This window comes from Homo sapiens, chromosome 5 (assembly GCF_000001405.40).
Source record: "Homo sapiens chromosome 5, GRCh38.p14 Primary Assembly".
Taxonomy (NCBI): Eukaryota; Metazoa; Chordata; class Mammalia; order Primates; family Hominidae; genus Homo; species Homo sapiens.
Genome location: NC_000005.10, coordinates 56,056,814 through 56,070,955, shown reverse-complemented (window position 1 = coordinate 56,070,955; position 14,142 = coordinate 56,056,814). Strand labels below are relative to the sequence as shown.

At 43.9% G+C, this 14,142-nt stretch overlaps 1 long non-coding RNA gene across 1 annotated transcript; it reads right to left on the bottom strand.

Moving 5' to 3' along the window:
- Window positions 1–3,583: 3,583 nt before the first annotated feature.
- Window positions 3,584–11,936, bottom strand: LOC105378976 (uncharacterized). Its single transcript, XR_007058777.1, has 2 exons — window positions 11,860–11,936; window positions 3,584–3,941 (listed from the first exon to the last, which is right to left on the bottom strand). It is a non-coding gene; the product is annotated as an uncharacterized LOC105378976 (long non-coding RNA).
- Window positions 11,937–14,142: the final 2,206 nt, after the last annotated feature.

The window sequence follows — 14,142 nt, the reverse complement described above, 5'->3', positions numbered from 1 at the left end:
CAAGGATACCCAAATTTAGAGCCCTGCATGCTGAATGGGGACACATGATCACTTTAAAAAGAATGAGACTGGGAGCTATTATTTCTTCCAGATGGATATGAAGTCATTTTCAAAGAAATAAAGGCATTGATTTATTTGGGATCTTATCAACAGCAGTTCAAAGTGTGCAGTATCAAGGAGAAGGAAGAGGCTTAGTCTTCTAGGAAATGATGATGGACTCGGTATGGGAATTGAGACGATTTTCTACATAGCCGTGAATTAATGAAACTTAAGCTTAGGTGGGGGGCCTCACTTGCACAGGCCCCCGCTAGTGCTGGGGGTTAGTTGCTGGTAGGAAAGGGATAGCAGGTTACAATCAGGAACTGTTTCTCTGTAAGCATTTCTGGTAAAGTACTTAATCTCAGAAGAAAAGGATGTAGATCTCTGTGGCTCCAGTCATTTGTTGTGATTTATTTCCTCTTTCCATATATTTATTTTCATACCATCTTTTATGTTCAGAACTGTATGTTCTTTTCCTTAAAGAGAGCGCCTAAAATTGTATAAGCTTCAGGCCTCACATAAAATCTGGCTCCACCATTATTTAAGAATGAATAATTTTAATTTCAATTTATTGCCTACTCTCAGGTCCTCATTTCCTTAATTGGTGGCTCCCATATTACATTAAAACATTTCCTTCATTCAGCCAAGCTATGGATTGAACATTTAGAGGTGTGTGTGTGTGTGTATGTGTGTGTGTGTGTTGGCAGGGAATCAGTGATATTAGGGCTTTGAAGGGAGGGCTTTCTCTTTCTACTAGAAAATAGACTGTTATATTTTTTCCTTACTAAAACATTGACATGTCCTAAACTGGCAGTATGTTTGTGGTTCTTCAAAGTTATGGACACAGACCGATACTTCAAAGAAACCACCACCTCTACCCACCCTGTCCCAGGAATTTGCCAGACCAAGAGATGCTGTTAGAAAGAGCTTGTCACTGAATCTCCTCTAAGGATATAGTTGAGCACGTTACTCAACATTTCACCCTGTCTTTTTCCCAGGGGCTCTCCAAAGAATTTTTCTAGTCTTCGTTCCAGGAATGATTGTACTTCTTTTGGGCCACTGGCCTTTTAATCTTATCAACTATGTGAATTGTATAACCAGCCACAGTTCTCACTTTGAATTGTTTGTTAGTAAGCCCAAAGTTAAATCTGCAGCCAGGTCATGCCTAGTAATTATGGTGTGTTTTTGTAGTCACATTCCTGACTCCATTTTATTCCTTTATTTCTAATTATTATTCTTGATATGTTGTTACATTTTATATATCCTTTCCTGAGAGAGTAGGGATATGATTTAATAAACCATTCATAAAGGCTTTCTGGTTATAGTTTTATCATGGGTATCTGGATTTGTAGCAAAAAATCTTTGCATACCACACCAAAAAAAAAAAAAAGATTTTGAAAGAAGGTGACTGCCTGAGGTCAGGAGTTCGAGACCAGCTTGGCCAACATGGTGAAATCCCATCTCTACCAAAAATACAAACATTAGCCAGGCGTCGTGGCAGGTGCCTGTAAACCCAGCTACTCAGGAGCCTGAAAGCAGGAGAATCACTTGAACCTGGGAGGCAGAGGTTGCAGTGAGCTAAGATTGTGCCACTGCACTCCAGCCTGGGTGACAAAGTAAGACTTCGTCTCAGAAAAAAAAAATAAAGAAAGAAAGAAGGTGACTGTGACCTGATGTTATCTGCCTGTTCCTTCCCACTTGCCTTGTTCACACTCATACTTCTGCCTGCTCACTGGGAGTGTCAAGTGTGCCAGCATTTTGTCACTAACCTCAGAGAATATTAATGATGACAACTGCTTCTAACCCATCTTTGCCACACTCAGAATCTACGCTCCCTGTATCTCTCCCCACCCTCATTTCTAATAAAGCCCTGATGCTCTAAGGGCACCTGCAGGATCCCAGTTGCACGTAGGATATCAATCCCGTGTACCCAGGTTCAAGTGGATACAAATGAAGTTTCAGGGAAGGTTCTCAAGTCTGGAAGAGTGTGAAGGCACTCTGGCCCTACAAGTGGCATCTCAAGTAATTCAGACAGGAAAGAGATTCTGACCGTGGGAGGGGGAGGCTCAAACCCCCTGGATGTGCTTCAAGACTTGAGCTATGTTTGTGGGCACAGAAGACCTCCTGGAAGAAGCAGGCAAGGACAGACGTTAGGGTGGGGAAAGCAGTGGCCTAGCAGAGGAATGAGTCACTGGGTTAACCTGGGTCAAGCCAGTCTTCCTCTGGAGGGTCCAACCTCACTAGCCCCCATCTCAAACTTCTCCCTTAGTCAAGATTTCAGATTCAAGTCAGAGTGAGAACAGTCTCACCATGACCCCTGAATTTCTCGTTCTAATGTCCTTTTGCCCTGTGCCCCTATCACATAAGTGTTCAGCCCCCAAACGCCTTTCAGAGCATCCTGTACTCACTCCAGCTGCACTCTCCTAGAAGCCTTCTCATTGATACCGCTGATCCACTTTGTTTATTTCTTTTATTTATTTATTTATTTTGAGACGGAGTCTGGCTCTGTCGCCCAGGTTGGAGTGCAGTGGCGCGATCTCGGCTCACTGCAAGCTTCACCTCCCAGGTTCACGCCATTCTCCTGCCTCAGCCTCCCGAGTAGCTGGGACGACAGGCGTCCGCCACCATGCCTGGCTAATTTTTTGTATTTTTAGTAGAGATGGGGTTTCACCGTGTTAGCCAGGATGGTCTGGATCTCCTGACCTCGTGATCCACCCGCCTCAGCCTCCCAAAGTGCTGGGATTACAGGCGTGAGCCACCGCGCCCGGCCCTCTTTGTTTATTTCAATCAGCGTTCCCTTTCTCGGATTTTTTTCTCCTGTTTTCCAAAAGAGGAGGCAGGTTGGCTGTGGGTAAATTTGAGATTCTGCATAAACCAGAATGATCTAAGTGTTTTATTTCCACCCACAAATTGAGATTACTACTACTACATTATATCACCTAAGAAAGAAAAGTCAACATCCAAAAAAGTACTTTAAGGCTGGGCACAGTGGCTCATGCCTGTAATCTCAGCACTTTGGGAGGCTGAGGTAAGCGGATCACTGGAGGTCAGGAGTTTGAAACCAGCCTGGCCAACATGGTGAAACCCCGTCTGTGCTAAAAATACAAAAATTAGCTGGGCATGGTGGCGGGTGCTTGTAATCCCAGCTACTCGGGAGGCTGAGGCATGAGAATTGCTTGAACCTGAGAGGCGGAGAGGTTGCAGTGAGCTGAGATTGCACCACTGCACTCTAGCCTGGGCAATAGAGGGAGACTCAGTCTCAAAGAAAAAAAAAATACTTTTAAGACTCAGATGGAAGGAGATAGTGAACTGGCACATTAGAGATTAATACACTGAATCTGCCTGGTAGAATGTAAGCTCCATAGGGGTTGGGGGGTTTTCTATTTTATTAACTGCTATGTCCCCAAAAGCTGGCCCATCATAGGTGTTCAGTAAAGGTTTGTTGCTGTGTTAATTTTTGGTACAAATGGGTCTGTATTCATGATTTAAACTGAACGTCTTTGTCCTTTCAAGCTGCTATAACAAAATACTATAGATGGAGTCATTTATAAAAAACAGAAATTTATTTATCACAGTTCTGAAGGCTGTAGAGTCCAAAATCAAGGCACCAGCAGATTCAGTGTTTGGATGAGGGCGCCCTCTCATTCCGTCCTCACATGGAGAAAGGGTAAGGCAGTTAGCTCTCTGGTGCCCCTTTTATGAGGGCACTAATCCCATAAGGGCAGAGCCTTCATGACCTAATCACCTTCCAATCATCTTGTAGTACCATCTTCTTGGGAGTTAGGATTTCAGCATAGGAATTTGGCAGAAACACATTCAGATCATAGCACTGAACAAAGTCTCATGGTAGCTGAGGCTTTCTTTCTCCATCTCTCATGCCCCTAGAAGACACATCATGTTGGCTTGCAGTTTTTAGAGGAAGAGAAGGAGGAGGAAAAAAGAAAGGAAGTCTAGTCATTTAGATTTCCTCATTTATATATGCACATCACAGGCCGGGGGAGGTGGCTCACGCCTGTAATCCCAGCACTTTGGGAGGCCGAGGTGGGTGGATCACGAGGTCAGGAGACTGAGACCATCCTGGCTAACACAGTGAAACCCCATCTCTACTAAAAATACAAAAAATTAGCCAGGTGTGGTGGCGGGTGCCTGTAGTCCCAGCTACTCGGGAGGCTGAGGCAGGAGAATTGCTTGAACCCAGGAGGCGGAGGTTGCAGTGAGCCGAGATGGCACTACTACACTCCAGCCTGGGCAACAGAGCGAGACTCCATCTCAAAAATAAAATAAAATAATAATATATGCACATCATTTTTACACACCTGTGCTTAGTGAAAATGGTGAACGCCACAACTGAGGTTGCAGACATCAAGTTATGGCTATGGCAGACACCATTTTTTACCTCCCACATTCATTCATTCTCCCACATTTTTTTTTTTTTTTGAGATGGAGTCTTGCTCTGTTGCCCAGGCTGGAGTGCAGTGCAGGAGCTCAGCTCACTCCAACCTCCGCCTCCCGGGTTGAAGCGGTTCTCCTGCCTCAGCCTCCTGAGTAGCTGGGACTACAGGAACATGCTGCACACCCAGCTAATTTTTGTATTTTTCATAGAGACAGGGTTTCACCATATTGGCCAGGCTGGTCTCAAACTCCTGACCTCAGGTGATCCACCTGCCTCAGCCTCCCAAAGTGCATTACAAGTGTGAGCCACCACATCCATCCCCCCACATTTTTCTTTGCTAGCAAAATCCCAGTTTCGTTCAAGAATTAGATAACTCTGTGTGTTTCTGAAATATTGGGCCCTTTACCTTTTTTTTTTTTTTTTTGAAATGGAATCTCACTCTGTTGTCCAGGCTGGAGTGCAATGCCACGATGTTGGCTCACTGCAACCCCCACCTCCCAGGCTCAAGCAATTCTCCTGCCTCAGCCTACCAAGTAGCTGGGATTACAGGCACGTGCCTCCATGCCCAGCTAATTTTTGTATTTTTAGTAGACACGGGGTTTCACCATGTTGGCCAGGCTGGTCTTGAACTCCTGATCTCAGGTGATCTACCTGCCTTGGCCTCCCAAAGTGCTGGGATTACAGGCGTGAGCCACTGGGCCTGGCCCCCTTTTCTATCTAGGGATGAATTCTGATTAGTCTAGGCCTTATCATGGTATTCTAGTCCCCTTACTAAGGCTAGAAGAGGTATGGGAACTAACTCAGAAAGGAGGTCTGTAGGGAACTTCTGGAATAATTTTCATCACATCACGTTACAATGGAACACGAAGAAAAGGACAGGCCTCTTCCCCTCTTCCACTCTTAGGTCATGATGAACTACCACAGCCACACTGAGGACATGGGATGTGAACCTAAGAACAAGCTGCAAATGGCAGAGCGGAAGAGTGGAGAGAACCTGTGTCCTTGATCTCATCTTTGAGCTGTTGAATTAAGCAGCTCCAGAATCCCCTCTCTTCTAAAATTGTAATGAGGGGTATTATAAATTTTTAAATTTAAACTACATTTAGTCATGTTTTCTTTTACTTGCATCAAAGCATATCCATTGGTACAAAGGCATGGGAACCAAAAAGCACAATACTCAATACTCGCCCTGGTGAGAAGAGCTAAGCAAATGCATCTTGGGAACAATCAAAGTTCCCAGCAAGGCCAAGTAGCACCAACCTAAGTTTCATAAATACCACTCTTGACAATTTACCATTTTCATTATGATTCATTTGCCCAAATTTAAACACGTTATCCAGTCATTTCCCTTAAGTAATTTTATACTCACAACCTTTTTTTTTTCTTTTTGGCAGCTGATTGTACTCTAGAACAGAGGTCAACAAACTGTTTCTATAAAGGACAGATAATAAATATTTCAAGCTTTATAGGTTTCTGTCCCAACTACTTAACTCTGTCACTACAACACAAAAGTAACCATAGAAAATACATAAATGGGCTGGGCACGGTGGCTCATGCCTGTAGTCCCAGCACTTTGGGAGGCTGAGGCAGGTGGATCACCTGAGGTTAGGAGTTCGAGACCAGCCTGGTCAACATGACGAAACCCCGTCTCTACTAAAAATATGAAAATTAGCCGGGTGTGGTGGCATGTGTTTATAATCCCAGCTACTCAGGAGACTGAGGCAGGAGAATCACTTGAATCCAGGAGGCAGAGGTGCAGAGATTGTGCCACTGCACTCCAGCCTGGGTGACAGAGTGAGATTCTGTCTCAAAAAAAAAAAAAAAAAAAAAGAAAAAATACATAAATGAAGGAATGTGGTTATGCTCCAATCAAATTTTATTTATAAATACTGAAATTTGAATTTCATATCAATTTTATGTGTCACAAAATATTACTTTTTATCATTTTCAATAATTTTAAAATAAACACAAATGAGTACCTGTAAAATTGAGGCTGTCTGAATAAGATTTGGGTTTATATAACTGTCAATTTCCTGGATTACAGGCAGGTGCCACAACGCCTGTCTAATTTTTGTATTTTTAGTAGAGACGGGGTTTCCCCATGTTAGGCAGGCTGGTCTCAAACTCCTGACTTCAGGTGATCTGCCCACCTCGGCCTCCCAAAGTGCTGGGATTACAGGTGTGAGCCACTGCGCCTGGCAGGTTGTGTATTATATTGTATAATTTTATAAGATGTTACCGTTGGGGAAAACTGAGTAAAGAGCACATGGGATCTCTCTGTATTACTTCTTTTTTATTGTGGTAAAATATACGTAACATAAAATTTATCATTTTAACATTTTTTTAAATTTATAATCCACTGGCAGTAAATACATTCACATTATTATGCAACCATCACCACCATCCATTTTCAGAACTTTTACATCACCTCAAAATAAAACTCTGTATCCATTAAATAATATCTCCTCAATTTTCCCTCCCACAGCCCCTTTTCAGTCTCTGTGAATTTGACTACTCTAGGCACGTCCTATAAGTAGAATCACACAATATTTGTCCTTTTGTATCAGGTTTATTTCACTTAGCTTAATGTATTCAAGATTCATCCATGCTGTAATATGTATCAGAATTTCATTCTCTTTAAGGCTGAATAATATCCCATTGTATGTATATACCACATTTTGTTTTTCCATTTATCCATTGATGGACATTTAAACTGTTTCCACTTTTTGGCTATTGTGAATAATGCTGTCATAAACATTGCTGTATAAATATCTGTTCAAGTCCCTGCTTTCCTTTTTTTTTTTGAGATGGAGTCTTGCTTTGTCACCCAGACTGGAGTGCAGTGGCGCGATCTTAACTCACTACAACCTCCTCCTCCCAGAATCAAGGGATTCTCCTGCTCCCGAGTAGCTGGGATTACAGGTGCCTGCCACCACGCCCAGCTAATTTTTGTATTTTTAGTAGAGATTGGGGTTTCATCATGTCGGCCAGGCTGGTCTCGAACTCCTGACCTCAGGTGATCTGCCCGCCTCGACCTCCCAAAGTGCTGGGATTACAGGTGTGAGCCACCACGCCCGGCTCAAGTCCCTACTTTCAATTCTTTTGGATAGAAGTGGAATTGCTGGATCATATGGCAATTCTGTGTTTAATTTTTGGAGGAAATGTGATACTGTTTTCCAGAGCAGCTGCACCATTTTACATACTCCAGCAGGGCACAAGCGTTCCCACTTCTTCACATCCTCATCAACATTTGTTATTTTTGGTGACAGCCACCCTAATGGATGTGAAGTGGTTTTGATTTGCATTTCTCTAATGATTATTTGTCTTTATCATCTCTTCATTTGTTTATTGGCCATTAATGTATCTTCTTTGGAGAACTGTCTATTCAAGTCCTTTAACCATATTTTAATAGGGTTGTTTGACTTTCGTTTTTGATTTATAAGTATTCTTCATATATTCTGGATATTAACTCCTTATTGGATTACCATTTGCAAATATTTTCTCCCATTCTGTGAATTGCCTTTTCACTCTGTTGATAGTGTCCTTTGATGCACAAAAATTTTTAATTTTGATGAAGTATATTTTATCTGTTTTTTTTCTGTAATGTATCTTCTATAAGTTCAAGTGAATTTAGAATTACCTCAAATTTAAAAGGTTTTTTTTTTTTTTTTTTTTTTTTGAGACAGAGTTTCGCTTTTGTTGCCCAGGCTGGAGTGCAATGGCTCAATCTTGGCTCACTGCAACCTCCGCCTCCTGGGTTCAAGCGATTCTCCTGCCTCAGCCTCCCGAGTAGCTGGGATTACAAGCATGGGCCACCATGCCTGGCTAATTTTTTTGTATTTTTAGTAGAGATGGGGTTTCTCCATGTTGGTCAGGCTGGTCTCGAACTCCCGACCTCAGGTGATCCACCCACCTCAGCCTCCCAAAGTGCTGGGATTACAGGTGTGAGCCACCACGCCTGGCCTCAAATTTAAAAGTTTAATCAAACAAAATGTAAGCAACATTCTTAGTTCATGGGTCATACAAAACAAGTGCCATTTGGCCCACAAGTCATAGTCTGTGAGCTGCTTCTGTGGAATAGAAAAAGGAATCGTTGCAACCATCTCCTTATCCAATCTCTCACTCTGCTCTTAACCCAATACCTCTGGGACTCAAGAAATTAAAATACCTCCACCACATTTATTGCTATATAAGTGAGTATATGTATGCACATGGTTCCATCTTACATGTTCCAAAAATCAAAGGACTCACCAAAAACAGGAGCTACAATTCCACATTTGATTTTAAGAAACCAACACCCCAGGTTTTCAAATGCCCCTTAAGAGCTTTGCTTGTAACAAATATTTTTGCTTTTTGTTGCATTGTGGCAGAGGATTTTAGGATCAGCACCTTTGCAGTCAACTACCCAACCTCTCTCCTCTCCTGGGAATCCTTCTTCCACACCCTTACACAAATTGTCAACAGCATGGCCTCCCGTCACCTCCCAAGCCAGCCTCTTCCAATGCTTACAAGCTGTAACTATTAGAAAGTCCTGATACCGGGACGTGTGTGGTGGCTCACACCTGTAATCCCAGCACTTTGGGAGGCCAAGGCTGGTTGGTCACTTGACGTCAGGAGTTCAAGACCAGTTTGGCCAACATGGTGAAACCCCATCTCTAGGAAAAATAAAAAAATCAGCCAGGTGTGGTGGCATGCCTTTTGTCTGTAATCCCAGCTACTCGGGGGGCTGAGGCAGGAGAATCACTTGAACCTGGGAGGCGCATGTTGCAGTGAGCCGAGATTGTGCCACTGCACTTTAGTCTGGGCAACAGAGCAAGACCCCAAGGGAATGGAAGGGGAGGGGAGGGGAGAAAGGAAGAAAGGAAAGAAAGTCCTGATTTTTTTTATGGTATTTAATTTCCTTTAATATCACATAAATTCTTTTTTATATATGGAGTATTTTATAATCTGTATTTGAAAAGAAGTGATTCATTATTCTTGATTCTACTAGAAATATTATTATATAAAAGACATCAGTGAGGCCGGGCATGGTGGCTCACTCCTGTAATCCCAGCACTTTGGGAGGCTGAGGTGGGCAGATCACAAGGTCAGGAGATCGAGACCATCCTGGCTAACACGGTGAAACCCCGTCTCTACTAAAAATACAAAAAATTAGCCAGGCGTGGTGGTGGGCGCCTGTAGTCCCAGCTACTCGGGAGGCTGAGGCAGGAGAATGGCATGAACCCAGGAGGTGGAGCTTGCAGTGAGCCGAGATGGCGCCACTGCACTCCAGCCTGGGCGACAGAGAGATACTCCATCTCAAAAAAAAAAAAGCCATCAGTGCAAACCTTCCTAGGGGTATTTGGGGCATTAAAAGAGAGCATCTCTAAGGTTACAGCCCTATCCCAAGCCCCATCAGGAATTCTCCCAGACAACTCAATGACCTCCCTGGGCATACTTGCCTCCCTCCAGTCCACTCTCCACACTGCAACCAGGTTGATCATTTAAAAAGGTACATCTGATTATGTCACCCTCTTGCCTAAATCATTTTAATGGTTTCTCATCATTCTCAGAATAGAAACCAAAATCCCTACCACAGCCCACAAAGCCCAGCCTGCAGCCTCATCTCGTTGCCTCCCCATAAGCTTCCATCTACGACAATGCCTTGTCTCCTCACCTCCTCAGAGTTGTCACTCTCCTGCAGGTGGTCCTCTCTGCCTGAATGCTCTGTACCTACCTCATACCGTTCCCTGCTCACTTCTCTTGAGTAAATACCTAGGAGTGAGATTGTTATGTTACATGCTTTGTGTATGCTTAACTTTGTAAGAAACTGCTGTCAATCAAGAAAAATGACGAGACAAGTCTCAATCATTTTAGGAGGTTTATTTTGCCAAAGTTAAGGCTGCACACCTGGGAGACAGGTCTATGCCTTTCTCTGAAGATGATTTTGAGGGCTCCAAATTTAAAGGGGAAAGGGCAGGATATTGAGATGTATACAATTTTCATGTAAGAGCAGGGTAAGGAAAAATAGCCATTCATGCCTTTGTCTGGCTCAGTGAATCTGCGGTTTTTACATAAGATGACATAGACAAATGGGGCAGAGGAAAAAATGCAGGGAATCTGCTTTTTTTTTTTTTTTAGACAGAGTCTCGCACTGTCGCTCAGGCTGGAGTGCAATGGCACGATCTCGGCTCACTGCAACCTCTGCCTCCCAGGTTCAAGCAGTTCTCCTGCCTCAACCTCCCAAATAGCTGGGATTAGAGGCGCCTGCCACCACGCCCAGCTAACTTTTTGTATTTTTAGTAAAGGCGCGATTTCACTATGTTGGCCAAGCTGGTCTCAAACTCCTGACCTCGTGATCCGCCAGCCTCCGCCTTCCAAAGTGATGGGATTACAGGTGTGAGCCATCACGCCCGGCTGGGAATCTGCATTTTCCATAAGATAACATAGACGAAAATGGGCCAGGAGAACAATCTGATATGCATTTGTGTCTGGTGGGCCAGGGGTGACAGCATCCATAAAGATAAGGATCAGTTTACATTGCCATGGTGAAATTTTAACAGAAACACCTTAGAAGATCTTGCAGCTCACAAGGAATTTCCTTGTGGGCAAAATATGGGGGAAGCTTGTAGCTTTTCATCTTGTAGCCATCTTATTTAGGAACCAAAAATGGGGAAGCAGGTTTGTGTGACCCAGTTCCCAGCTTGACTTTTCCCTTTGGCTTAATGAGTTTGGGATCCCAAGATTTAATTTCCTTTCACACTGCCAAATTGTTTTCCAGAGTGGCTGTACTATTTTGCATTCCCGTCAGCAATGTAAGAAAATTCTTAAAAATATCAAGTGCTCCAAATCCTTGCTAGCACTTGATATTGGTAGTTTCATTGTATGCTACATTTTTTTTTTTAGACGGAGTTTTGCTCTTGTTGTCCAGGCTGGAGTGCAATGGTGTGATCTTGGCTCACCGCAACCTCCGCCTCCCAGGTTCAAGCGATTCTCCTGCCTCAGCCTCCAGAGTAGCTGAGATTACAGGCATGTGCCGTCACGCCTGGCTAATTTTGTATTTTTAGTAGAGACGGGGTTTCTCCATGTTGGTCAGGCTTGTCTTGAACTCCTGACCTCAGATGATCTGCCCACCTCGGCCTCCCAAAGTGCTGGGATTACAAGCGTGAGCCACTGTGCCCAGCCTGTATGCTATATTTTTAACAAAGCACAGAGTAAGTGCTATCCGATTATGAGGTTCCGCTAAAGGGAATAGAAGATGAGTAACTCCTTTGAACCCATTTCAGTGAGAGCTCTCTGGTCGAAGTTATCTCCCACTCTCCCTCCAGCCTTCATAGTAATAACCTTTAGCCAAGCTGCTATGAAAGCACAAGAGATTTAATGGGCTTAACCACAGAGACTGTTTTTCAGACTGAATTGATAAAAGTACAGCAGCTTCAAAGTCTTACCTTACTATCTCTACCCAGCTCAGTCTTACTCCTGACCACGACTTCGACTTCGCTGTTGGAATCAAAGTGGTGAGTGTGAAGGTCACATGTGTAAAAATGTTACAAAGGGCATAGTCACAGAGGGCTTGAAGACTTCCGGGAGCGAAAATACTTTTGAAGGTTGGTTAACATATTTTCCAGATCAACTGAGAGTTTAACTCTTCAGAAGACTACAAGTGGATTCTTTTTTCTTTCCCTTAACACAGAACCTACATGTTGGTAAGCACTTGTAGACATGGGTACCTTTGACAACTGTAGCTTCCAATAAAGCGTGCAAGGGTGCTAATATCACACCAATTAAAAGGCTGACATGCAAATTGCTAGAAGTGTTTTACAGTTTGTTTTTCATTGTATCAGAATACCCCAGTGAGAATGTTTTTGACTAATACAGTAATAAAAGGCTGGCTCTGGAGCTACCCTTTGCTAAGGTAACATATTAATGAGTCACCAGAAGCTATAAATAGAACTCAACATGAACTTCTGTCCACAATTACACCACTATTCCCACAAAGAGAGATGTTACTAATGATGGAACACGGCCTGCTAGCCACTATTACAACCAAGGCGGGTGAGGACACGGGGAACCACAGCCTTGTGGGAAATGTGCACTGTGCTACGAGTTGCTGAGATGTCATTACAGTGTGTGCTTTCCCTTACGGCCTGTGAGGCAGTTTTATTGTTTTCCTTAAGGATCATCAATGTGTATGCCAGCCAAGTTTGTCAAATTCTCTCTCTCTCTCTCTCTCTCTCTCTCTCTCGTTAAATTCCAGACAATAATTGCCTTGAGTCAGTAATTTATAGGAGAGCTCCATAACCATTTACTGGATGGATATAACACTCTGGAATTTTTTTTTTTTTTTTTTTGAGACGGAGTCTAGCTCTGTCACCCAGGCTGGAGTGCAGTGACACGCTCTCTGCTCACTGCAAGCTCCGCCTCCCGGGTTCACACCATTCTCCTGCCTCAGCCTCCTGGGTAGCTAGGATTACAGGCACCCACCACCAGGCCCGGCTAGTTTTTTTTATTTTTAGTAGAGACGGGGTTTCATTGTGTTAGCCAGGATGGTCTCAATCTCCTGACCTCGTGATCCGTCCGCCTCGGCCTCCCAAAGTGCTGGGATTATAGGCGTGAGCCACCGCGCCTGGCCAATTTTTTTTAAGACTCAGGGTCTCACTCTGTGGCCTAGCCTGGGGTAGAATGGTGCAATCATGGCTCACCACAGCCTCAAACACCTGGGCTCAAATGATCCTACCACTTCAGCCTCCTAAGTAGCTGGGACTACAGGTGCACAACCCACATGCAATAATTTTTATTTAGTTAGTTAGTTATTTGAGACAGAGTCTTGTTCTGTCGCCAGGCTGGAGTGCAGTGGCGCGATCTCGGCTCCCTGCAACCTCTGCCTCCTGGGTTCAAGCGATTCTCCTCCCTCAGCCTCCGGAGTAGCTGGGATTACAGGCACCCGCACCATGCCCGGCTAATTTTTTGTATTTTAGTAGAGATGGGGTTTCACCTTGTTGGCCAGGATGGTCTTGATCTCCTGACCTTGTGATCCGCCCGCCTTGGCATCCCAAAGTGCTGGGATTACAGGCGTGAGCCACTGCGCCCAACCTATTTTTTAGCTTTTTAGAGACAAGTTCTCACTATGTTGCCCAGGCTGGTCTCAAACTCCTGGCCGCAAGCCATCCTCCTTCTTTGGCCTCCCAAAGTGCTGGGATTATAGGCACAGGCTACCACACCTGGCAATACTCCAGAATTTTGATCAGTTATATACACAGGTCAATATATTCAAGCCAATTTCCTTCAAAATATCCATTTAAATGTTCCCCCTATCAAAAGATATCTCTGCCAACAGCCCTACTATGTTTCCTCACACCTTGCTGAGCTCATTTCTTCAGGCAATAATGAGGAGAGAATAAAATGTCACCTGGAAACTGAGAAAGGGCAAACATGTCAAGACCCTGCTATTCACCACACCTTAGGTCTAGTTTCACACCAACTCTAGAGGGAGGATAGGAGACAGAAAAAGTAATGTTGAGAAAACAGAAGTGGTCAGAAATGGTCCAGTACACAAAGTCCTACTAGAGTAGAGAGCCAGAGCTCTCTACTGTGGAAATCTGTAGACTCCAGGTTCTCGGGGGAGACGTTGAGAAAGAGAAATAAAGAGACAGTAAACAAATCATCTTCCCTGCGAGTTTGCCTGGTGGTCTCTCATTTCCCATGGCCAAGTCCTCAGTAAATGCTTCCAG